Source organism: Homo sapiens, chromosome 6 (assembly GCF_000001405.40).
Source record: "Homo sapiens chromosome 6, GRCh38.p14 Primary Assembly".
NCBI classification, from domain to species: Eukaryota; Metazoa; Chordata; class Mammalia; order Primates; family Hominidae; genus Homo; species Homo sapiens.
Window position 1 is genome coordinate 134,427,740 of NC_000006.12, and position 26,524 is coordinate 134,454,263.

A 26,524-nucleotide genomic window follows, 5' to 3' on the forward strand; every position below is an offset into this window, starting at 1 on the left:
CACAATGTATTAGAAGAGAGATACATAAGCAGATGCTTATAAAACCATATAGTGAGTTTAGGATAGAGGTGTACACAGGAAATGATAGATGCATGGAGAAAGGCCACCTAATCAGGCCAGGGGATAGGTGTGCCTGGATTTCCAGATAGGCTTCCTGTGTGGGTGATTGTTGCTTAATACCTGAAGGCTGAATAAGTGTTGGCCAGATGTCATCCCATAAGTTGAAATGAGCAAGAGATAGAGATGTCAGGCTGTCTGCTGTGGTGGTTGTTGGCAGGGACAGGGAGGGGTTTCTTTAAGCGATCTGGAGAGATGGGAACCCAAAGCAAGACAGTATTTAGACAGAGAGCTGGAGAGATAGCCAGACTCTAAATCCTGAAGGTCTTACATACATGCTGTCCTCTAGCTCATTATCATCCTAGAAAAATAATGCAAACCACAGACAGAATTTTATATTATCTAGTAACCTCATTGCACAAGTAAAACAAAACAAGTAAAATTCATTTTAGCAATACAATTTATTTCACTCAATATATCAAAAATAACATCATTTCAACACGTATTCAATACAAAAATTATTATTGAGACAGCTTACATTCTTTTTTATTTTTGTACTGCCTTTGAAATACAGTGTGCTTTATTCTTAGAATGTGTCTTAATTCAGACTAGGCAAATTTCAGGTGCTCAATAGCCACCCAGGACTAGTGGCTACCATATTGAGTGGTTAGGTGAAATTTTTCAAGGATACCAATTCTAAGAACTGTTCAGTGAAAATGGCTGGGAGATCTGCCTATTATATAATCCTCCAGGAGATTCATATGAGGGATTCATATATTAAAGTCTTTGAAAAGTCTGCCAGAAATACAATGATTGTACCTTCTGCTTTTCAAACTTGTGTAGCCACAGGACCTTTTGTTCCTCCAGTGTAATCAATCCCACGCAGTCAGTGCTCCTTTGGACCTGCCTCGGGCATCGCTGCTTCTCTTGTCGGCAAGTTGCCGAAGGATCCTTCCCTAGGCGGAGATCAGTTAGACCACTTGCATCGCATAGGCCAGGTTGTGGAGAAGGAGACTGGAAACAGAGGTCTGGGAGGATCCAAGCATCAGGAAGAACCACAGAGGTTCTCATTGTTCCCACCGGTAATTAACTCTTCATTTATAAAAAATGTGAGCTTCCAGGGATTTCATCGGACCTCCTCCCAAGTTGTAGATTTGATGAGAATGAATTTCCCGTTCATTTTCGTTGCTTTGATCAATAATAAAAACCTCATGAAATAAAGCACTTGTAAAGTCTTATGCAAACATTTTATTGACATGCTCAATAAAAACCTGTTCACTTTTACTGTTTCCAGTTCTTGAAGATTTAAACAGATTGCCTCTTTGAAGATTTTCTATTTATTTTTTCCTTTTTTTTGTATTTTCTGCACTCCACTGTTACATTTTCTGTTTGTATCATAATGCCATTTTTTTTCTTTTTCTATAGGAATAAAACAGAAAGTGTAATTATAATCAATGTGTACAAAATGTAATGTATTTTTGTCAAAAAATACAAAATCGCAGTAAGGAAAATAAAATTATATGTGCTCCTAAAATATATTTTTCATCTGAAATATTTAAAATAATTAAAATTAAAAGTAAAATACAAATTATAATAAATATCTAATAAGAATTTAAATCAAAATTATTTCAACTAGCTAAAATTTTTGTTGAGTTTTTAAAAAGCCTTTATGATATTTACAAAACACAACTATTTGCAATTTTAATTTTAATATTCACCTATTGCTGATACTAAAATTGGTATCATACTTCACATATTATGTCTAGACCTATGTAGATACAAATATAAGAGTAATATGAATTGTTTAGTATTGCAAAATGTTCCCCATTCTCCATGAGCAACTATAGAAAATACTGCTCTAATTCAAGAGTTCCTCTAGAACCACCAAGCCTGCTCTTAATATTTGTGGGGCCTGAAGCAATATGTGAAGACCCACACAACATGTGTCTAAATATTTAGAAGGTGTAAATCATATTAACAAACAATAACATCAAACATTTTCTATTTCCTAATCTTGTGAATATACGTTGTTGATCTGGAAAGTCACGTTCAAATTTAGAACTCTTGGTCTTCTCAGAGAACCATGTCAGAAGGAATAAGTAAAAAAGTGTAAGTAAATCTGTCCTCCAGCCCCCAGCTCTCACTCCTACTTTTCACACCCCCTTCTCTTGCCACCTTCAGCTCCACCCCCATGTCTTGTGGGATCTTGCATACTTGCATATGGATATCCCAGTCTGCATGTTCAAGCTCTGACCATATCACACACAAACAGCTGCTCTGGGCCATCTCTCAGACTTAGTGGTGTGCAGAGTGGTGGCATAATCAATCGTTAGGAGAAAGGATTCAGGGACGAGGCCCGTACAGGTCCTGGCAATGGGCCCAGGACTACTTGTGCAGGGAAATCTAGAGTGGGAAGAGAGATGGGCTTCAGGTAGGCATACCTTGGCCCTCTGTACTACTAGGCCTGTGAGGAAAGGCACGGCCAGAGGAGGGCCAGGGTGGAGCTTTTTCAGGTACAGGACCAGGGCCAGAATGTGGAGGTGCTACTAGGAACCATAAATTAGAATACAAAGAGAAACAGGAAACTGGCACAATTGGGAACCAATATTTTGTTATGCTCTCTGAGAGGAAGAGTTTGGCAAGTGTATTAGTTTCCTAAGCCTGCCATAACAAAATGACTGGGTGGCAAGATCAAAGTGTTGTCAGAGTTGGTTTCTTCTGAAGCCTCTCTTTTTGGCTTGTAGGTGTCTGTCTTCTCCTTGTGTCTTCATATGGTCTTCCCTCTATGTGTGTCTGTGTCCGAACGTCTTATAAAAAATCAGTCTTATGAGACTAGGGCCAGCTTGAATGATCTCATTTTAACTTAATTACATCTTTAAAGACCCTTTCTTCAAATATGGTCACATGCTGAGGTACTGAGGGTTAGGGCTTCAACATAAACATTTGGGGAGAACACCATTTAATCTATAACAGCAAGTTCATTAATTTGTCTTTCCAGTTCCCGAAACACCTGCCTGCTGAAATTCCTCTGCAATGTGAAGGAAGCAGTGTTTTTCTCTTATGTAGGTAATGACCCAACCTACAATTTAATAGCTTTCAGATAGTTGCCTTTTGTTTGGAGAATGGTTTTCTTTTCTTTCCTTTTTTTTATTTTGAAACAGAGTCTCTCTCTGTCAAGAGGCTAAAGGCTGAAGTGCAGTGGCGCGATCTCGGCTCACTGCAACCTCCGCCTCCCCGGTTCAAGAGATTCTCCTGCCTCAGCCTCCTGAGTAGCTGGGACTACAAGCACGCGCCACTACGCCCAGCTAATTTTTGTATTTTTAGTAGAGACAGGGTTTCACCATGTTGGCCAGGATGGTCTCCATCTCTTGACCTCGTAATCCGCCTGCCTTGGCCTCCCAAAGTGCTGGGATTACAGGTGTGAGCCACCGTGCCCATCCTGTTTGGAGAATCGTTAAGGGAAGAGATGTGGAGAAGACAAATGGAGATGTGTTTCCCTGGGGTTTGAATACTGTTAGTCATGAGAGTGGATGTTTGGGATTGAGTTGACTCTTCTAATGCTAAGCATCAGGTCCTGAATGACAGAGGAACCATGTGTTCTTCAACCATTTGTGTGTGTGTGTGTGTGTGTGTGCAAGTATTTGTGAAATGCCATTCCCTCTATAGCCCCACACCCAGGGGCAGGTTCCTTCTTGTCTAAATCTACAGGAAATATTGAAAAGAAAGTTGAGGGATTCCATCACAGCTGTGGAAGCAGGAAAGGGAATGGGGGGTGGGTAATTTGAAAAATATTTACACAAGGCAAACTATGTGGGATTTATAATAGGGAGTAAGAAGGAGGACGGAGTCAAGAGTAATTCTCTGAGGTCTTTCTTGGATGATTAGGTAACGAGTAATATCTTCAACTAAGGGAGAGAATCTTGAGAAGCTAGGTTAAGGGAAAAGAGGAGCTTCATTTGGGGCAGGCAAATTCCCCAAGCAAATTCCAGCAATTGTGACTCCTCAAGCTCACGTTCCTATCATATATAGAGCCTGGTTAAATTGTGCCAGTAGCAGAACTTGATTTTTATAAACAATGACAGTAATTGGTATACTAGTTAATAGTCAACATAAATCACTTGAATGATCAGGGTTTATTAACAATAGTAGAGTCACTACAACAGGGATAAAGAAAAGGGAATATAAGGGCATAACATTTAGAAGTGTTGTGCAAAAACAAAAATAAGCATAAATGAACAAACAATAGAAGCAAGAGTCTGAAAGATTTGTTACCTGTTCAGCTATGACTTCGGTCTGAGGCCTCTAGAGCCACAAAATTCATGGATTCATTTCCAGCATGTTTACTTACCATTTGACATCAAATGGTAGGCACTGATGCTAACAACAATTAAGCCAAGTTTTGCATTCCAGGGAAGTTCAACATTTTCACTCTATTGCCCAGGCTGGAGTACAGTGGCGCAATTTTGGTTCACTGCAACCTCTGCCTCCTGGGCTCAAGTGATCTTCCCACTTCAGCTTCCTGAGTAGCTGGAACTATAGACATGCCATGCTTGGTTAATTAATTTTTTTTTTTTTTTTTTGTAGAGACAAGAGTCTCACTATATTGCCCAGGCTGGTCTGAAACTACTGGGCTCAAGTGATCGGCCTGCCTCAGCCTTCCAAAGTGCAGGGATCACAGGCATGAGGCACTGCTCTCAGCCTTTTTTTTTTTCTTCTTCTTTTTAAGAAAACACACGTAGAAAACCTATTGTGTAGGATATTCAAAAGGTGGAAACAGCTTCAGTGTCCACCACTGGCTATACAAAATGTGAATATCCTGGATAGAGTTTCTGTTCTGATAGAAAAGTTTTGAAAATAGTGATGATGGTTATACAACATTGTGAATGTACTTAATGCCACTGAATTGTGCACTTAAAAATGATTAAAATAGCAAATTTTATGTTATACATACTTTAGCACAATAAAAACAAAAACCCTTCTGTGTAGGTTTTGAGGACACAATCAGGTTGAGTAATCCAGTTTTTCTCTTCCAATAACATAGTCTGATACGTTTTAAAGGAATAATTCGAAAGAAAAATAGATATGAGCTTATATCCCAATTACTCAGTATGAGACCCAGACAGTATTTCAGAATATAGCAATTTTCAGTTAAATAGATGCTCGTTAACATTTAGAATAAGGTTTTGGGGTCATCAGCTCATTCTTGATGCAAGAAAAATCTAAATGCATCTTTAGAGATGAGCTCCTCTGGGTCATTTCTACTTGCTAGATTCATATGCAGTGCCCCAGTTTTAAATTAACAAAAAAAAATCAAAAACCCTAGAAGATTTCTTAGTAGGAAAAATATGTTTTATAACTCAAATGAAGCAAAATCCCTAAATCTCTTTTTTTCCCCAGATTTGCAAATGCCATTCTCCTTAAGGCATCAGCTCTAATTTTTTCTGCTTTATTTTTTAAAATAAACTTTTAACTTTATAATACTTTTAGGTTTACAGAAAAGTAAGATAACTATAATGCACCCCACGCCCAGTTTCTCCTATTGTTAACATGAGTGTGGTACATTTGTCAAAACCAATGAGCCAATATTAATACATTATTAACTAAAGTCCATACCGTATTCAGATACCCATAGTTTTTTGTTTTTGTTTTGTTTTGTTTTTGAGATGGAGTCTCACTCTGTCGCCCAGGCTGGAGTGCAATGGTGTGATCTCAGCTCATTGCAACCTCCACCTCCCGGGTTCAAGTGATTCTCCTGCCTCAGCCTCCCAAATAGCTGGGATTACAGGTGCCCATCACCATGCCACGCGAATTTTTGTATTTTTAGTAGAAATGGGGTTTCACCATGTTGGCTAGGCTGGTCTCAAACTCCTGACCTCAGTTGACCTGCCCATCTCAGCCTCCCAAAGTGCTGGGATTACAGGCGTGAGCCACCACGCCTGGCCAGATACCCGTAGTTTTTACCTCACGTCTCTTTTCTGTTCCAGGAGCCTATCCAGGATATCACATTAAACTGAGTTATCTGGCTGGGTGTGGCAGCTCATGCCTGTAATCCCAGCACTTTGGGAGGCTGAGGCAGGCAGATCACTTGACGTCAGGAGCTTGAGACCAGCCTGGTCAACATAGCGAAACCCCTTCTCTACTAAAAATACAAAAATTCGCGAGCATTGTGCTGCGCGCCTGTAATCCCAGCTACTCAGGAGGCTGAGGTGGGAGAATCGTTGGAACCTGGGAGGCAGAGGTTGCAGTGAGCCGAGATTGTGCCACCGCACTCCAGCCTGGGTGATAAATTGAGGCTCCAACTCAAAAGTAAATAAATAAATAAATAAATAAACAAACAAATTAAAAAATTGAGTTATCTTGTCTCCTTAAGCTCGTCTAGATTGTGACAATTTCTCAGACTTTCCTTATTTTTGATGATGGTGACAGTTTTGAGCAAGCTTGGTCATGTATTTTGTAAAATATCTCTCAGTTGGTGTTTCTAGAGTGTTTTCCTCATGATTAGACTGGGGTTATGGGTTTTGAGGAGATCACAGAGGTAAAGTGTCATCCTCACCACATCACATCAAGGGTACTTGCTATCAACACGACATCACTGGTGACGTTAACCTTGATCACCTGGCTGGGGTGATGTCTGTCAGCTTTCTCTGTTGTAAAGTTGCCCTCCGCCCCACCCTTTTCATACTGTATTTTTTGGAAAGGAAGTCACTATGTGGAGCCCATACTTAACAGGGTGGGGAGTTACACCAGAGTCCTTGAGTGGTGAGTAGAACGTTACAGCACAAAAAATTGCTTTTTGTGCACCCTAATGTATACAAATTTTTGAAAAATCACTTAGGATATTAGGGGATCCCAGAATGGAGTGCAGGCTATGACAAAACAATCTAAGTGTCTTACAGATGTATAAAATAATTTCCCTGAAGGAGGTGGGAGGAAAGTTGCTGACCTAAACAACTTTAGAAATGAATGGAGACTACAAGACCAAAGGCAAAATAAACTGTATGTAAGCACTGTATTCTCGTCAATAAAGTTGCATCTCAGGAGTATAGTTTGATTTTGAGGGCGTTATTCATGTGTACTGGTATTGAGCAAATAAATGAGTGGATGGTGGATGGTGGGAGCCAGGTTTCTCACTGTTGGAGTGGAAGGTGACATACAAAGACAGGAAAGAGGCTAGAATGATCCATGTGGTATAGGATTAGAGTTGAGACAACTGTATGCACTCACATTTAGCTTAATATAGATACGAATAATTACATATATAAATACTTATAGATATGTGTACATATAATTATTAGAACACACGTATATATTTCCCTGTTCTGTCAACATTCCAGTAGCAAGAAGATCTTGATTTCTTTTATTTATTTATTTTTTTGAGATGGAGTCTCGCTCTGTCCCCCAGGCTGGAGTGCAATGGTGTGATCTCGGCTCACTGCAACCTCCACCTCCCGGGTTGAAGTGATTCCCTGCCTCAGTCTCCCAAGTAGCTGGGATTCAAGGCGCCCACCACCAAGCCCGGCTAATTTTTTGTATTTCTAGTAGAGACAGGGTTTCACCATGTTGGCCAGGCTGGTCTCGAACTCCTGACCTCAGGTGATCTGCCTGCCTCAGCCTCCCAAAGTGTTGGGATTACAGGCGTGAGCCACTACACCCGGCCCCAATCTTGATTTCTAATACCATTCTCCAATGGTTACTTGGAGACATGGCTGATTTTAGGACGGGGAAGGGAATACCTAAGATAAGCCTGCAGCATCTTGTAGTTCCAGAAGGCAAGGAGGCACTCAAATGAGAGCAAAAAATAAAAAAATTAAAAAAAAATCCACAGTGATGGGAATATGTCAAAAAGACACACGGCTGAAAAAGTTCCCAATGGCCAAAACTGAAACAATTTAAGCAAATCAATCAATCGATCAACAGTGCGCTGTTGGACTATAACTCAAAGCTTAAGATAAATATCCACATGCCCATACTGATGAAAATAAGTGATTAAAGAACTGAACAAATAGGAGAGAGTAGACAAATCCTCAGTGCAGAAGAATTCCAAATGATTTTTGTAAACCTAATTTTTATACCTATAATTTTCATTTCAATGTCATAGAAAACTAAGTGAATTACTATGAATACTATATTTGTAGAGGAAAGACTAAGGGATGGTAAGGCTGCAGAGCATCCTGTAATTAAAATGAGAAAACCGAAAGTCAAACAAAGTCATCAGTGGGCAGATTTTTATATACTTCAGCCTTAGGTTTCCTTGGTAATAACCCTATCTGGCAACTACTACTTATTCCTACATAGATCTTAAGAACACAGCTCTCTGGAGTCTCCTCATACCTATTTGAATAACGAGGTGTATGTGTCCTCATACAAGAGCACATTCACTTCCACCTATGCACACCCTCGAGAAGAGAAAGGAATGGAATATTTTTGTTTTTATTTGTAGCTAAAACAAGATTTCACTGTTTACTAGTTTCTAAATACCAAAACAATGATGGGATTCTGTCATCTTCCTGGTCACTTACTGCTCATCGCTCACTGTGTGGGGAGTGCAATGAGTCAGTGGCAAATGCTCTGCAGACACGCCCCTTGTTCATCTGAAACGCACAAAGGAGGGGTGGGCTGTGTGACTAAGCCTGTGTGTGGATTCTTACAGTAAGTTATGTTTCTGAGAAACAGGCACTAACAATAGCTCATTTAAAAAACAAAACACAACGAAATAAGCACCATTACAATTGGTGAAAAACATGTTTAATCTTTTGCCTAAGAAAGTTTTGATAGCCCAACATAATTGAAATGGTGGCTATGCATCGTTCCACCCTAGTTACTCTTAACGGCATGTTTTGAGTCACCAAACGTGCGTCCTGCTCAGCCTTGCCCAGGCAACTGTGAACGACAGCCCTTTCCAGAGGACCTCAGAATGACAGGGGCATGTCACAGCACCTTCCTTTCTTCCAAGAAATGCCAGGTCACAGGGGGTGTTCACTTATTCTCAAGTGACATTCTTGTCCTTAAAATATTTTTTTCCTCCATTATGGTTGTGACAATTGTTAGCATAAATATTAGCCTGAAAGAAGGACAATTCTTATGAAGCCCAAATTGGGTTTAAGTTATAAGTAACAGTTGTGTTTTTAAAAAATAACTCATCCTCATCATACAACCAGATAAAGTAGAAATCAATTGTCATATAAGATATACAAAATTTGGGTATAAATAAAAAGATAACAACTGGATTAAAATGATCCTTTGCCATATTTTACTCTCTTGGAAGTGAACTCTGAGCATACATATAATGATATGCCTAAAAAGTGTCAATGACACAGCTATTTTCAATGAAATTAAGGAAATAAAAGACCCAAAATGCTCATACTTAAGATTTGTTAAACCTTATCCCTGGTCAACATTCTATGCAGATCTGAAACTGAAACTATTGCAAAATGATGCAAGACTGTAAGTACTCTCTGGAGTTTGGGTGCATTATTTTTGTAATTCCTTTTATGTAATGGAACTATTTCTTTTTCCAGGGCCATATAAACACCTGAAGAGAGGACGATGTCAGGTCGACAGATTGTGGAATTTAGATTCAGCACCTAAGCTATTTGAGGTTGACACTCACTGAAATCTTGAGTGTTTGCACCTGCTGTGGAATAAGTCATTGTCCTTGGACACCTTACAAGGTGGAGTTTGTGCACATTTGGGAAGAAGGAGGCGGCTGGCAGAGTGACTTCCTTATCGACCCACTCACCAGCATCTCCATCTCCCTCAGGGGGTGCTGTCCACCCACCGTGTTTTGTTTACATCAGTAGCAAAGACATATGAATCATCTTCCACTTTTTAGCTATGAATGAAGAAGTAACCTCTGACACCCACTAGTGCGACTGGCCCTTACATGCTGGTATATGTCAGACTCTTAGCATCACTCTCATTTCATACTGCTGTTGATGATGTGAATTTTGGAAATATTCTCCCCTATTGGGTCTTTCTCCATGACAGATGATGTCCTTTGGCTTCGGTTTTTTGCCTAAGAACTGTAAGTGGTGCTTGCTAGCCCTACTAAGAATCCTGCCATTGTTGCAAATTTCAGAAAAAAGGTAATGCATTTAAGGAACTTTTCCCTTTGTTACAATTATTTTCTTTCTATATTAAGTAGCTTATAATTAGGATAAAGAGATTACAGAAACAGGGATGGAGAAGGACGGGTTGAGGGGAGGAGAGAGAGTGCTGGAGAGACAATATCATCACTAGGAAAAGACATGAGTAAAAAAATAGCGCAAACAAGAATTATGCTCCTCAAAAAAGAGCTTTCTGGTCACCTTGCAAGGATTCTATAAAAGTTACAGGTTACAATCGAAATAAGTAAAATATTTAGTTAACAAGGAAATGTGCATCGTGCACATAATTACTGAAAGTTATTACCAGTCACTGTGGTAGGAACTGGGGATTAGAGAGAGAACGGATCTGTAGTTCTAGCCTCAAGGAGTTACTGTTTAGCATTAGAGGCAAAATGAAAAAGTACTCATTGTTTCTGCCCATGTTTGCAAAAAGGGGACAAGTTATTGGTCCCCAAAGTAAATGAGATAATGAGAAAAAACTTCAGGGAAAAAACTGAGAATACTATAGCTGATTAACTTACTGTTTAGTTCTCTTAAAAATATCTACCTTCTTATCATTATAATTCTGGAATGAAAATCAGGAGGACTGCCTAGTACTGCCAATTCTGACAGTGATCTGGTAAGACATTTTCAATTATTTCCTCTGTAAATGTTTTAATATCAGATTAGAAATGTGTTTCTACTTTCTAATTTGTAACGTAAGACTTCAAAATCTGTTTGAAAACTACTGTAGAAAGTCTGTGTTGAAGGATAAAATTCCCCGATATTTTAGAATGGACTCTTTGCATTCAATTAATTTATTAGTTAAAGACAGTGATTAATGCATCCTAAAATATTTAGGGATGTAGTCTTTTCTAATTATTTCACTATAGCATAGAAGAATTGCTATTAAGAGTTGGCCAACAGGCCAGGTGCAATGGCTCATGCCTGTAATCCCAGCACTTTGGGAGGCTGAGGCTGGATCACTTGAGCCCAGGAGTTTGAGACCAGCTTGGGCAAAATGGCAAAACTCTGTCTCTGCAAAAATACAAAAATCAGTCAGGCATGGTGGCTTGTGCTTGTAGTCTGAGCTACTCAGAGTTGGGGGCTGAGGTGGGATTCGCCCGGGAGAAACGAATAGAGAGGTCTGGGTATGCAGGGATATAGGGTCAGGTTACCAAGTTAGCTGAGCACATCGGGTCCCCTGTGGATATTGCCACTTCAAAGAGGCTCAAAAGCTCTGAAATTTTATGAAGAATTTTCTCAGGTTTGGCAGATACGAAACTGTTGAACACTGTTAGAGAAAAATGGGGAAAAGTAAACTAAGGCCTATCCAAATTATTATTTTGAATTGCGTAGCTCAAGATGATTTGACCATCACATTAAATTTGTCCAATTAATTTGTCACATTAAATTTGCCAAATTAAAAGTGTATCATGTAGTGACTGATAGTAAACTAAGTACATGAAATTATGGGCATTCAGAAGATTTTTAAAGAACTGATTGGTTTTACTTTGGAACAGTAACAATGCAGTGAGGCATCTTGGGACAAAGATTGGAAGAGGAAGAAAGCCAGAGAATTGAGCCTGACATTTGGGAGCCACTTTTCCCCTTGAACAACAATAATAATGGCCCTTAGGCTTTCTGCGGAAAGGAGGGTGTTTGTTTAAAAAACAAAAAGACAGAGACATATACAGAGACAGAGAAAAAGAAGAAAGGAAAAGCAAAAAGATTCCAGAAATAAAGGGGAAAATATAACCCTTACCATGGAGGAAAATTACAATTCACTTGGATTAACCATAAGAAGATTAAAAAGTCATATATTGACCAATTTTAATGTTTTCTGGAAGAAGAAACACACCTTTTCACACTGTGAGCTGTACAGAAGCCGACTCTGTGGTTTTTGGTGTGTAAAAACATATAGTAATAATAATTATACCACTTTACACCTTTATGGTGTTTTGGGTTTACAGATTCTCCATACAGTTAATCTATTTTGGGTTTACAGATTCTCCATACAGTTAATCTATTTTGATCTTCATACCAAACCTATTCTAAATTGGGGTTTAGAGGAGGTGTGAGGCTGACAAAAAGATGTTCTGCTTTTTGTTCAGGACCTGTGCTCAGGGCTGTGTTCTCATTTTGAGGTTGGATTTTGTACACTCACATTTTCATTTATCTCTCTAGTGCTCAAGATATTCACAAACTTTTTCACTGTCAGGGATGCATAAAAGAACAATACTTTATTAGAGCTATATTCTAAGCCAACTGGGTCGTCGTACCTTAGATTCAAAGTTAGATTATGGCTCAAAATGAATCCTTAGCGTATTTCTGGTGTTCAAAAAGAATAGGTTGAAGCCGAGACGGGTGGATCACTTGAGGCCAGGAGTTCGAGACCAACCTGGCCAACATGGCAAAACCCCGTCTCTACTAAAAACACAAAAAATTAGCCAGGCATGGTGGCGTGCGCCTGTAAATCCAGCTACCTGAGAGCCTGAGGCAGAAGAATCGCTTGAACCTGGGAGGTGGAGGCTGCAGTGAGCCGAGATCATGCCATTGCACTCTGACCTGGGTGACAGAGTTGGACTATGTCTCAAAAAAAAAAAAAAAAAAAAAAGAATAGGTTATTTTATATTTCCTGAATTACATGTAGTTGTAATGCCTTGCTCAGGATCTTGCCTATAGTGGCAAAGAAATATTGCTTAAAATCGACTCTTGAATTACACTAGCATTCTGTAGGCACCATATCAAACATCTAGGACAGGGGTCCTCAATCCCCAGGCCGCTGACCGGTACCAGTCTGTGGCCTGTTAGAAACCAAGCCACACAGCAGGAAGTGAGCAGGGGGCAAGCATTACAGCCTGAGCTCCGCCTCTTATCAGATCAGTGGTAGCATTAGCTTCTCAAAGGAGTGCAAACCCTACTGTGAACTGTGCAGGTGAAGGATCTAGCTTGCGCATTCCTCACAAGAATCAATGCCTCATGATCTGAGGTGGAACAGTTTCAACCTGAAATCATCCCCCACATCCCACCCCACCCCAGTCCCATCTGTGGAAAAATTGCCTTCCATGAAACTGGTCCGTGATGCCAAAAAGGTTGGGGACCACTGGTCTAGGACTTACCCGGTAAGTTAAAGACAAACCTTTAAGGAATTTTCAATTTAGTATCTTGATATCCCTATGTGAAGATATTGGAACTCATTCATATTTTTTGTTTATTTTGTTTTTGTTTTTTGTTTTGAGACCGAGTCTTGCTCTGTCGCCCAGACTGGAGTGCAGTGGCATGATTTTGGGTCACTGCAACCTCCGCCTCCCAGGTTTAAGTGATTCTCCTGCCTCAGCCTCCTGAGTAGCTGGGATTACAGGCGTGTGCCACCACATCCAGCTAACTTTTGTATTTTTAGTAGAGACAGGAATTCACCATGTTGGCCAGGCTAGTTTTGAACTCCTGTCCTCAAGTGACCCACCTGCCTCGGCCTCCCAAAGTGCGGGGATTATAGGCATGAGCGACCGCCTCGGCCCTCATATTTGGTTTTGCTTATATGTCTTATAAGATTATTTCATAATGGTTATCTGCTTCTAAATCTGTTAACTTAGTTTTGCTAAATGTAGTTCAAACAAAATTTATCTTTGGATTTTCATTACCTTTTTGGCTTGTCACAATGAACAACAGGGATTGATAACAAGAGAAAAACAATCCACCTTATTGCAGCAGCCTGGTTTCTGATCCTAGGCACCATTTACTAAATTAGATAATGGGAAAGAATTACTCTTCTCTTTCCCCAAGAGAGTTAGTGAGTGGTAAAAACATTTAGGTGGTGGGTGAGGAGAATGTTTCTTATTGGTAAAAGGAATTTTTAATAGGGAAAGAGACCAGGTGAGAATAGAAAACTAAGGGAAACACAAGGCCATTTTTTGTCTGTTTGTTTTTGAGACAGGATCTCAGTTTGTCACCCAGACTGGGGTGCAGTGGCTCAAATATGGCTCACTGCAGACTTGACCTCCTAGGCTCAAGTGATCCTCCCACTTCAGCCCCCCAAGTAGCTGGAACTACAGGTGTGTGCCACCACACTTGGCTAATTTTTGTATAACAAGGTCATTTTTGATAGAAATATTTATGATATCTGAATTTCCTCCATGTTGAAAATCCATATTTATTGTTCTTATTTTTCTTGTACTTCACTTTCATTGTTCATTAATTACATGGGAAAATAACACTTCTATGCAATGTATAACCATTTTTAACAAATAAGAGTAATAGTGCTGTTTGCACTACTTTGTGTGACATGTCTAAACAATGTAAACTTTTTGTTGTATAGACTTTAGTTATTGTTCAGTACAATGTCATCTGCTGTGCATGACTGTGTGTAGTCTCTCTCTAGAAGTGTATAATTTGCTGACTATAATGAATCTCTTTTGATAGCAAAACTTTTCTTTTAAAAATATTAATTATTAGGTTGGTATAAAAGTAACTGCAGTTTTCCCCATTAACCACAATTGCTTTGTACCAACCTAATACCTGGTGGACAGTGGCAAATGGAATGCAGTCACTTCTGCACTGGCATAGGAGACTGTTTGTCTTATCTTCCCCAGTGAATCTCCTGGCAGAAGTAGTTTCTACTAGGAGAAGAAAAAAAAAATTACAGTAAGACCCCATGGAATGAAAACCTGTGGCGCAAGAGCCTCACTAAATGTCCCAAACACAGGAAGCAACCAGCCAATACTGTTGACTTGAATTCCAAATTGATCCAGTGTTCTTTGATTGTATTTTGACTAAGTAAAGGCATCTCTCTATATACTTGTCCACTTCGGGATTTATCTGTTGATTTTTGTTTGCTTGTTTTTGGTCTCTAAAGGTTTCAGTTATTTTATGAGCAGATGCTTTTTCCATTATCTTTCCTCTCTTCTTTGCATTAGCATTCCTAAAACATACACAATCAGTATCTCTTACCAGTTACACTAGAGGTTGGCTTGCTTAAAAAGCAGTAGTGTTATTTCTTCTAGCCAAGTACCAACTCGTTGCAGTCAGGCTGGAACCCGGCTATTGTCCTGACCTGTGGCTTCAGCTCTGGGGCAGAGGATGCAATGTGTGCAATGCAATGCACACGTCGATGCAATGGTGTGCAGGAGCTGGCCTCCACTACTTCATGAGAGCTGTTTGTGTGTATCTCTTTCCAGCTTCACGTTAACCGTAGTGGGAGTATTTATACCATGGAGGTCAGCAAACATCACAGATCAGATCTTTTTTTTCTTTTTCCTCCAGAAAGTCAGTAGTTAAGCACTTACCAGCACACCACTGGTTAGATATGAGGTGGAGAGAGAAGTTGAAGAGGGGTGGAAAATGAGATCATGAGCTATTCAAAGGGCCCATAATAAAACAAAAGAGTGAACCAAAGCAGCTTCATGTTCGTCAGTCCTCATCAACACCAAGAGGTCTCACAGGCTGCTCTTTGCTGGAGTCAGTGTAAAATCGCAGAGGAGCCTGGACTGGGAATTAAAAGACCTGGTTTCTGATCCTCATGCTGCCACTGCATGCCTGTATGATCTGGACTACTCATTTAACTTCTCCCAGTCTCAGTTTTCTTCTCTGTAGCACAAAAGTATAGAGGTGGGGTGCAGCTTAGATCCTCGTTGTTTTAAGTGTGCTTCAGAAACTGTCAGAATGGGCATCACCTGGGAACTTGTTAGGCCAACCTGAGGTCTACTGAAACAGAATCTGCATTTTAACAAGATCCTTAGCTGTGCTGTGTGCACATTCGGGGAAGCACTAGAGTTGGTAAGTGGTCCTCAAACCTGGATGAGTATTTGTAAAGATTAAAAAATATGTATTTTGCTGGGCATGGTGGATCATGCCTATAACCTCAGAACTTTGGGAGGCTGAGGCAGGAGGATCACTTGAGCCTACTGCAACCTCCACCTCCCAGGTTCAAGCAGTTCTCCTGCCTCAGCCTTCTGAGTAGGAGTTCAAGACCAGGCTGTGCAATATAGTGAGATTCCAGCTCTATAAAAAGTAAAAAAGTTGCTGGGCATGGTAGTGTGTGATTGTGGTCCCAGATACTTGGGAGGCTCAGGTGGGAGGATCACCTGAGCCTGGGAAGTCGAGGCTTCAGTGAGCCATGATTGCACCACTGCTCTCCAGCCTGTGTGACAGAGCAAGATCCTGTCTTAAATAAAAGAATAAATAAAATAAAAATACATATTTCTGGCCTTTATTCCTGATATATTGGGTCAGAATATCTGGAGATGAATCTCAGACTTTTTATTTTTAAAAAGTGCCCCCAAAGCTTTTGAGAACCAACAAGTGATGGGATCCGTTAGCTCAAATGGTTCCCCATGGTTTTCTCTCTCTCTCTTTTTCTTTTCTTTTTTTTTTTTTTTTTAGATGGAGTCTCACTGTGCTGCCCAGGCTGGAGTGCAGTGGCTTGATCTCAGCTCACTGCAAACTCTGCCTCCTGGGTTCAAGCAATCCTTCCACCTCAGCCTCCCAAGTAGCTGGAATTACAGACACCTGCCACCTGCCACCATGCCTGGCTAATTTTTGTATTTTTAGTAGAGACTAAAAATACAGGGTTTCACCGTGTTGACCAGGCTGGTCTCAAACTCCTGACCTCAAGTGATCCGCCTGCCTTGGCCTCCCAAAGTGCTGGGATTACAGGCAGGAGCACCCAGCCTCCTTGTGGTTTTCATAGTCGATGTCTGCTCTGACAAAAGTTGCCAGCCTTCAAGATAATGCTTTCCTTCTCCCTGCCCAGTGTTGATAGTTACTAGAATTGGTGGAAAGCAATTCTTGAAGGGCTTAGGGAGTATGAATTTGTAAACCACTTTTATTTCATAAAATTTGAGAAGGCACCGTAAAAAGCTTAGATTTTGGAGTGGATAAAATAATCTTCTAAATATGAAAAAAAAAAAAAAAAGCCAGCAGAAATAGGTTACTTCATGGGGTTGGAAGAGAAACTAAAGGAAAATAAATGACACTGTAAATGTACCTGTCTTTTGAAATCCTAGCTGACATTAAATTCATAGCCATGCAGAGGGTTTTAGATGTGCTTGTCTGAGATAGTGAAGCTTAATGGACCAAATATGGCTGAAAGATCAGGAAATCTACTTTTAGCCACAAATTATGAAATGGAGATATATAATTATTTTATTGTGATTCTTCAAGCGAATACACTTGAAAGATATAAAGCATGGCTTTCTCATGAAGTAATTCTATGATCATGTGCACTTTTTATTTTAAAATTTGTTTTTACCAAATACAGCTATAATATAAGCAGCTTATTCCTGGCCAAAAACCCACCTAAGAATATCAATTAGGAATTTGGTTGGCTTCCAAAAATAAAAAAAAATTGACTTATAAGTAAGAAAGGTTCGTTTTCTCACATTCAGAAAGAGAACCCACATGTTGGGAGCAGCGTTGCAGGATTCTCTGGCCTTTCCCTCACATTGGGAGAGCCACCGCAGCTTCAGACCCCATTGCCATGCCCTTCCAGGCAGGAATGAGCCGAGGAAGGTCAGGGCCAGCCACACCTGCCTCTGCATGGGAATAGCAAAGTTGTCTCACTTTGACACCTAGCAGGATTCTGCTGACATTTTGGCCAGAATTAAGTCACATGAACTCCTTTAACTAGAGGAGACTTGTAGAATAGATGAGTTTTAAATTTCAAACTACATTGCCAGGGCCTTCTACTTTCCTTTTTTTTTTTTTTTTTTTCCTCTAAGTGACAGGATCTCAGCCAGGTGCAGTGGCTCACGCCTGTGATCGCAGCACTTTGGGAGGCAGATCACCTGAGGTCAGGAATTCAAGACCAGCCTGACCGACATGGTGAAACCCCGTCTCTACTAAAAATACAAAAACTAGCCGGGCATGGTGGTGTGCACCTGTAGTCCCAGCTACTCAGGAGGCTGACACACGAGAATCGCTTGAACCTGGGAGGCAGAGGTTGCAGTGAGCCGAGACCACACCACTGCACTTGACTGCACTGGAGACTCTGTCTCCAGGCTGGAGTGCATAGGTGCAATCATAACTCACTGCAGAATCAAACTCCTGGGCTCAAGCGATCCTCCCGCCTTAGTTCCCAAGTAGCTGGGACTACAGGTGCAAGCCACAATGCCTGGCTACTTTCTACCCTTCTGCTTTTACTCTTCATCCACAGTTCAAAAGACATTCTCTCTTTACTTCAACAAACAAAATCGTATAGTTCCTACAGTAGTCTGCTTAGCAATTAACCCTGTAATGAAATCCTCTGGGATTATTTCCACATAATAAATTCCTCATTTTCTAATAATGTATATGCACAGGTTATACCACCACAGCAGCTATTTATGTATCTACTGCTCTATTATAACAGACCTTTTTTTTTAGTTTATCTCCTGTGCTTCTCAGAAACAAGTTATTCTTATAATCCCTCCATGTCTTGAGCTCACTGTGCCTAGTAATGTCTGCTTAGCTGAACTGAGAAAAACACAGACTGTGTCATCCTATTCTTCTCTGCTACGCGGAGTGGCATGTGCAAAGCTCTGTATGCAGCCCAAGCCTACGTCTCATTGGTGCCTTTGTTTACACAGCAAACTGTTTCTGACATGTTGGATGCTTGATATTCACACAAATTACAAGGACCACAAATACAAATCATAATTGCAGATGTCATACATTTCAGTGATCTCTGTTGAAAGATTGAATTTGAGTGGTTTGCACAGCATCCAAGGAATTTTTCCGAGGAAACTTGTGATTAGAATGAGGCTACAATATTCCATCTCTTAGAAGGGTTGCCAGGAAATGAACATGCTGCATGCATGACAAGCATGAATACTGACAAGCATGAATCCTGAGAATCAGTGGCCTGGAACTCCGCTGGTGTAAGCGTGAAAGTGCAGGCACTAGACAAGCCCCATAGCAGGCAGTGACATGTGGGTTAGTTTATGAGGAAAAGAATCAACAAACTACTTATTATGTGTATTTTCTCTCCCTTTTGCTTCTCAGCCTTCTGTTTCAAGTTATTTTTATGCTCATCTCACACTCTCTGTATTTTTCAGACATGCATTAACAAATTAGAAAGATGACTTTGTACTGGCACTAGAATATTTCTCCTGATGGATGTATCCCCGAAACGCAAGTGTGAAATACATTAGTTTGAAAACAATCACAAGTGGTGAAATTGGTGATTCAGGACTTAGGAGGTCAAACATGAAAAAAACAAGGAAAAACCAGAAAGGATTAAAACATCTACAGGGAAAAAACCTATGATGACACACACGGAAAGTGAAAAATACCAGTTACAATAGTCAAATTCAAAAGTCAAAAATAGATTCTGCCTCTTTATGGCAGAATCTTATCAATGTAGCACATTTCTGAGGAAGCATTCTCTTCTTCAAACTGTAGCTATGTCTACAAACAAGTTTAAGGGGAGAAAAGTCTACCAAAAATAACATGAAATTATTATTTTTAAGTGACTTGATGCTAAGTGGCCCCTGTGACTTAATTTTTCATTTTCAACTAGTTGGTGTACAATCAAGTCAGCTGCTTACATGGACAAAAATGCAATGCACATCTTATTAACAAATATGTGATTTATGTATTCACTCCTTCTTGATGTGCATTCAGAAGGAATAAAGGATCTTCTTGGGAAAAAAGTGTTTACCACACCTGATAAGTTGCCATTGTTCACCTTCCAGGTAATTGTGTTATTTTGGTCTTCAAGGCCCTGTGGTACTTGGAAGCAATTCCTTAATAGTCAAACAAGGGCACATTGCCAGGTTTCCATTGTCAACGTTGCAGAACTTACTACTGTTTAATACTTTGTAGAAGGAGGAATATTTAAACACAAATCTTGTTTCAGGAAAGTGCTCCATAGAAAGTAAGTTGCGGAAAGTACCAGAGTCATTTCTATCAAAAGATATATTTCAGGATCCGGGATAATTTGCTAAAAATAAAAAATGAGAGAAAATTAAAAGAGAGAGAGAGAGAAAGATCTGTTCAGATTTGTTTCAACAACCAGTGGTTTCTACAGGATGTAGAACTTTTCATTAGCCAAGAGAAGGAGAGATCATACTCACACCATATGACTTCCTGGTGGAAGGTGGAAACCCAGCATTCAGATGATCATTTGAAACATCATCTTCCCCTTTTTGAGATTTTAAAAGATACAAAAAAAAAATACACTCATGACCCAGCTATTCCACTTTTTAATATATACCCAAGAAAATTAAAAACATATGTCCACACAAATACCCATATGAATATTAATAGCAGCATGATTCATAATAGCCAAAAAGTGGAAACAACCCACATGTGCGTCAGCTGATGAATGGATTAACAAACGTGATACACTCATACAATGGAATATTATGCAGCATAATAAGGAATGAAGAACTGATTCATGCTATAAACAATGAATGAACCCTGGAAACATTATTCTAAGTGAAACGTCAGACACAAAAGGCCACATATTGTATGATTCCATTTGTATGAGGTGTCCAGGTCAGGCAAATCCATAGAGATGGAAGGTAGATTACGGGTTCCCAGTGGCTGAGAGGAGAGGGAGAACGGCGAGTGAGGGCTAATGGATAATGGGACTTTTAGGGTGATGATAAACATTTTAAGAACTAGATGTGTGGAAAGTTGCATAACTTTGTGGCTATACTAAAAAAGACTAAATTTTACACTTTAAAGGGGTAAATGTTATGGTATATGAATTATATCTCAACAAAGAAATTATTCAAAAAATACTCCTGGTACCAAATGACTGTTAACATAAAAGTGACGTTATCACATAGATGACTCTGAGACATAGCTCCCAAACACCACATACGTTTTTAAAAGGAAAGAAACCAAAAACGAGCCTATTTCAATATGGTGAAAATTTTAATGAACTAAAAAATGTTTGTTTGTGGTTCCTTCCATATAGAGAGCCTCATTTCTCAGCCAATTAAAGCAACTGAACCTAAACTGAAATTACACAGATTCACAGGGTCTGCGGTGGGCAAGTCTATGGATGGGGCCTGGTTGTCTCTGCCCCTCCTGTCTCATTTCTGGGATTTTCCTGTCGTTTTGTTTGAGTGCCCTTCAGGTACTGAGTGCTTTCATGAAGTTGTGCACTCTTCTTTCTCCATGCCTATGTCTGCCTCCACACTGCCTTTGAGAAGAACATCTCTGCTCTCAGCTTAACCAAAGCTTGAAATTTGGGGTCCCATGTTTTAGCTGCTATCAGTTCAGCCCAAAGAATGACAGGTGAAACTTCAGGCAAGCAGAGAGATATCCTTGTGCTTAGCAAGAAAAGCAGCACTGAGGAGACAGCTGATAGTGGACTCACTCTTAGTCTTAGCGTGGCATCTGTCCTCTCTGGCAGCATTGGTTGGCCACATCATAGGTTTAAATGGCTGGATATTCAATATCTCACAGGGAGCAATCTCCAGAAGATTTAATTATATGTAAAAGGCCAGGGAACTTTGGCAGTATAGTGAACATTTTTTTCTTTCTTCTTTCTTTCTTTCTTTCTCTTTCTTTTTCTCTCTCTTTCTTTCTTTCCTTTTCTTTCTTTCTGATGGAGTCTCGCTCTGTTGCATAGGCTGGAGTGCAGCGGTGCGATCCCAGCTCACTATAACTTCGGCCTCCCAGGTTCAAGCAATTTTCCTGCCTCAGCCTCCTGAGTAGCTGGGATTACAGGCACCCGCCACCATACCCAGCTAATTTTTTTTTTATTTTTCAGTAGAGACAGGGTTTCACCATGTTGGCCAGGCTGGTCTCGAACTCCTGACCTCAAGCCATCTGCCCACCTCGGCCTCCCAAAGTTCTGGGATTATAGATGTGAGCCACTGAGCCCGGCCTAGTGAACATTTCTTATGTTAAACCAAATGCTATTCAATAAGTTTTAGCTTCAAGTGGGCTGAGTTTCACATCATTATGAATGAGAAATTTAAGGGGTAAACCCTATGCTGCCCTCACAATCATCCCTTCATTCCCTCTTCCTTTAAGATGTTTTCTGCCTAGGAGGTTACTCAGGCCCTTGCACATGTGGTCTCCTGGCAGCAGATCCATCTCTGACATTTGCAGCCGGTGCAAGAATACAGATGGAGGCCTCCACCCTTCCAACTCATAGTTTGCCCCTTTTATGTTCTTAGCTGCTGCTCAGTCCTGCAACTTGACCCCCATGCACACTCATGTGTATGTGAACATTGCAGCTGCAACCCGGGAGCCTGCAAAGAGTTGCCTTTTGGACTTTCTCAGGTTAGGAGTGCAGTTAACAGCTGTAATGCTGTGACTTGAAGAGTAGCCCACACAGGCTGTGGAAGGGCTAGGGTATTTGGGAGAGAAAGTTCAGAGTTCAAGGTACCCAAAGCAAGGACTAGAAGGGGGTGCCTTGGTTCCAGGTGGGCATGTCTCTTTGGCTTCATGGGTCTCTCTCCTCTTAAAACAAAAGCAGGCACCTCAGGCTAGGATACCATTTGCCTGGGTCCAAGGGAAGAACTGTCTGGAAATCTTATTCCACCAGTCTTTCAGCCAGATCCAGCCACGGAGCTGTGTCTTAACCCTGAGAGGAAGCAGAGCTATGCCTTAAGCCAGCTCCTTAATCTACACCATTTTCTTTGCAACTGGACACATTTTATTAATATCTGTATCTATACTAAATAGGAAAGAGGACCCTGGCTAATTCTCTTGTTAGAGTAAGACAAGAAGTCCATGAGATTTGGGGAAACCAGGCCAAGGTTTGGGTCCAAAAGAGGCCTCCTTCAAACACATACACACCCGTTTTTCCACATGTGAGTAATTACTAAACTCTCTTTGGCCCTCACCAAGACAACCAGCAGGACTCAGGAGTTTAATGAATTGTTCTCACTTCCACGGAGCAGTAAAATTGAGTTTTTATTTATTAGAAACTTAAAATGGTTTTTAACTCTGTGGGAGTAATTTAGAAATTGGTGTGAAGTGTAATTGATTTTTATAAACATGCATATTGTAGATTTTTCATTAATAAGCATTTGCATTGTAATTTGTTTGTGCATGAGTGCCCTGGACTTTCCAGATGCTAATGAACAAAGTGCTGGAGTGTGCTTTCTACAAAGCGAAATTCATTATTTTCATTTTTATTTTTAACTCTTTTCTCAAAGTGAGAACAAGAGAAAGCTATTGGAAAGATAATTTCTAGAAAGAAAGGTGAACTCAGCTCTTTTTGATAATTATGTTTTCCCCCTCAATCTTGTTTAACAAAAGCTGAAGAACTTGTCTGTCACACTCCTGATACTTTCTCTAATTAGTCCTGGCTTCATATATATGTGTATATACACACATATGAAATACTCTTTCATGTATATATGAAAAGACTATTTAGAATGATTATTTATACTGCATATAATTAAGTAGGGCTGTGTCCTGGTCTATAATCACTAGAGACACCCTTCTGAGAAAATACTCCTGACTTAACCACACAATTTATTCTACATTGTAGTGCCTTCAGGGATACACCCTTCTGGAGTACATTAGTTTTCTCAGACAGACCAGAAATGATTACCAAGGGAGGAACCTCTTCCAATAAGCCCTCTTTTCATTTCTTTGATATGTGTGCATCGATCCCTAAGTCCTCATCTGGACTGCTACCTTAATTTGCAGAGCCCAAGTGAAAACACACACACAAAAAACCCTCAAAGTCCCTTCAAAAAGCAGGGGTGGTGGTGGGGGGGAGGTGTGGAAGATTTCCTTTCTTTCTCTTTTGGCCTGTCATGGGGTCTCTTACTTGCTATTTAATTTCATGCTCTCTTTGATACAGGGGTATTCACAGGGTGAGTGCAGATGGTCTCAGGTAGCTCAGGCCTGCCCAGCCACTTGGTGCATGGGGTGTGTGCACCCAGCTTCCACGCCCCCTGCAGGCCCAGGCCCCTGCCTGCCCAAATGGCTGTAGTCACTGGAAGGGGGTTGGGGAGCAGAGAGTGGAGGGGTGGGAGATAATGAGAGTGGATGAGGAAGCTCCTCACCCCCTGTTCCATTGTCCTTCTGGACTTCACTTACAAAACACAAACTCCAAGATTAAATTGTTATGCATTTTAAGGGGATTCACCCATGAAAGATGGGCAACTCTCCTGTTATAAAAGAAGTCCACAGAAGGCTCCATAACTTCTGTGCCAGGTCAATAGTGCTCTGATTTCCTTTCTTTCTGCCCCCAGTGATTATCCAGGGACTACAGATGGGGTCAGCAGCATGCCCAGTCACCTGCATTGCCTAATGAATGGCTGACTGCCTCAGCATCCCCTGGGCAGAGGTGAGGAGGACTTGTTTACAGCCTGATATGGTTAGACTTTGTGTCCCCACCCAAATCTCATCTTGAATTGTAATCCCCACGTGTTGAGGGAAGGAAGTGATTGGATTATGGGGGTAGTATCCCCCATGCTGTTCTCATGATAGTGAGTGAATTCTCACGAGATCTGGTGGTTTTATAAATGATAGTTTTTCCTGCACTCTCACATGCTCTCTGTTGCCTACCACCATGTAAGACAGGCTTGTTTCCCCTTCTGCCATGATTGTCAGTTTCCTGAGGCCTTCCCAGCTACGCAGAATTGTGGGTCAATTAAACTTTTTTCCTTTATAAGTTACCCAGTCTCTGGCAGTTCTCTATAGCAGTGTGAAAACAGACTAATACACAGCTTAATTCTGGATTTATCTTAGCCTTCACTCCTCAAGCAGTCCAGGCATGGTGGCTCACGCCTGTAATCCCAGCACTTTGGGATTGATCCCTTGAGGCCAGGAGTTTGAGAACAACCTAGTGAGACTTCATCTCTACTGAAATCAAAAATTTAAAAAAATTAATAAAATGTGAAGCTCCCACTCCATAGTTTAATGACACATGCACTATTATGTGGTTTTACTTTTCTCATGGAAAAGCTATACATTACAGAAAATGCAAAACATCGAGAACAGAAGAAAACAAATCACCAGAATTGCCATCTTACTGTCCAGAAATAATTACTTAGCATTTTAGCATATGTAGTTTGGTCTTTTTACATATACGGCTATGGTGCATATGTTATTGAGATATTGTAAATATTGCTTTAAAACACACTTTCATTCACTCAATAATACACCATGAATATCTTCCATATATTATTATTAATCTAAAACATTATTTGAAAACTTTTGGGTGCATACCACTCACCTGGGAGCATGTGGGAAATAAAGATTCTGAAGTCTCTCACTCGCAGAGATCCTCATTCATAACCGCAGATGATGACTCATAAATCTGATATCTGCCTTTTGAAGAAGCACCCCAGAAGATTCTGATGGAGGTGATTCTCAGAGCTTGCTCTGACATACACTGATCTACAATATGCTTTTAAAATGCTGCACTGTGTTCCATCATATAGGTGTGCCATAATTTATTAAACCAGTTTCATATTGTTCATTTGACATTAGTTTCTAAATTTTCACGTGCATGATTAATTCTTCATATAAATCTTTCTGAACATCTCTAATTATTTCCTTAGGAAAATTCTGCAAAGTGGAATTACTGGGTCAAAGGGAATGTAAACCTGAGCAAAGTAGATGGTAGTGTGAATGAAAAAGCAAATCAGTAAGCTGTAAAACACTACACTAATATGATAGAACAGCTGCCATTTATTGAGGGACTTTTGTAAACCCGGCCAGGGGTTCTTAAATTTTCTTGTGAATCAGAATCACCTGGATGGCTTGTTAAAACCAGGTTGCTGCTACCTTCTCTCCATCCCAGTTTAATTCATTAGGTCTGTGATGGGACTGGGAATTTGCAATTCTAAGAAGTTTCCAGGTGATGCAGATACTGGTCCTAGGCCAGGCCACACTTTGGACACCACTAGACACTATTCTAGGTGTCTTATTAAACTTCACAGCAGTCTTTACAGTTGATGATTGAGATGCAGAGAGGGTCTAAGGTTATGAAGCTAATGCTGGCAGAGCTGGGATTTGATTCAAAATTTGATGATTCAAAAGCTGATGGTTTTCCCACCAGGCAACCTGGTTTCTTCATTTTACTGCCCTCAAATAAAATATTTTAGATGTGTTCCTAACAAGCACTGAAGGTTTCAGTGTCAGCGCCACCCCTCCCCCACTCCAATCTATTAGGGATACATAAGGGAGGAGAGAGGTTAGGAATTGTTTGGCTGAGAAATTCCTCAGGGGAAACTGGTTGGATGAGTTACACTCCACCATTCACATCAATATGAAGGGTTGCCTCCCTGTCCTGCTGTGGCCTCAATGACATGTGGACATCAAGAGAATAATTTCTCATCTCTTACTGCAACCACATAATAATCCTTCCTTGGAAGAGAGATCTGTCTTCTCTAAAAACCACCTCCAACCTTCTCCACACAATGGCTTAAATAACCTGTTTGTTCAGGCAGCTCAGAAAACAAATTTCATCAGTG

General features: G+C 40.4%; 2 long non-coding RNA genes across 5 annotated transcripts in view, besides 3 other annotated features; one reads left to right on the forward strand and one right to left on the reverse strand.

Annotated features, from left to right (window-relative positions):
- Positions 1-1,290: 1,290 nt before the first annotated feature.
- CT69 (cancer/testis associated transcript 69) overlaps positions 1,291-26,524 on the reverse strand; it is a 49,868-nt gene continuing 24,634 nt past the window's right edge. The window contains exons 4-5 of the long non-coding RNA NR_125852.1: positions 20,195-20,262; positions 1,291-1,476 (exon numbers count right to left, since the gene is read on the reverse strand). This is a non-coding gene — a long non-coding RNA (cancer/testis associated transcript 69). The remainder of the gene's footprint in view (positions 1,477-20,194; positions 20,263-26,524) is intronic.
- Positions 8,163-9,362: an enhancer, noted in NCBI's record as "BRD4-independent group 4 enhancer chr6:134757040-134758239 (GRCh37/hg19 assembly coordinates)". NCBI's record gives its function as "activates an origin of replication core promoter dependent on BRD2, P300/CBP, MED14 and CDK7 cofactors, and independent of BRD4, by STARR-seq in HCT116 cells {active_cell/tissue: HCT116}" and the evidence as "EXISTENCE:reporter gene assay evidence [ECO:0000049][PMID:35650434]".
- Positions 8,512-8,806: an enhancer, noted in NCBI's record as "tiled region #14472; K562 Activating DNase unmatched - State 5:Enh, and HepG2 Activating non-DNase unmatched - State 22:ReprW". NCBI's record gives its function as "activates a minimal TATA promoter and a strong SV40 promoter by Sharpr-MPRA in K562 cells, with weak activation in HepG2 cells {active_cell/tissue: HepG2 | K562}" and the evidence as "EXISTENCE:reporter gene assay evidence [ECO:0000049][PMID:27701403]".
- Positions 9,964-10,023: an enhancer, noted in NCBI's record as "active region_25090". NCBI's record gives its function as "activates an Ori minimal core promoter by ATAC-STARR-seq in GM12878 lymphoblastoid cells {active_cell/tissue: GM12878}" and the evidence as "EXISTENCE:reporter gene assay evidence [ECO:0000049][PMID:35858748]".
- LINC01010 (long intergenic non-protein coding RNA 1010) overlaps positions 9,977-26,524 on the forward strand; it is a 66,305-nt gene continuing 49,757 nt past the window's right edge. For 2 of the 4 annotated variants that reach the window (NR_038216.1, NR_038217.1), the window contains exon 1: positions 9,977-10,142. This is a non-coding gene — a long non-coding RNA (long intergenic non-protein coding RNA 1010). Of the gene's footprint in view, positions 10,143-10,650; positions 10,783-24,295; positions 24,391-26,524 lie in introns of those variants that run through there. The other 2 variants (NR_038219.1, NR_038218.1) reach the window with 2 other exon arrangements.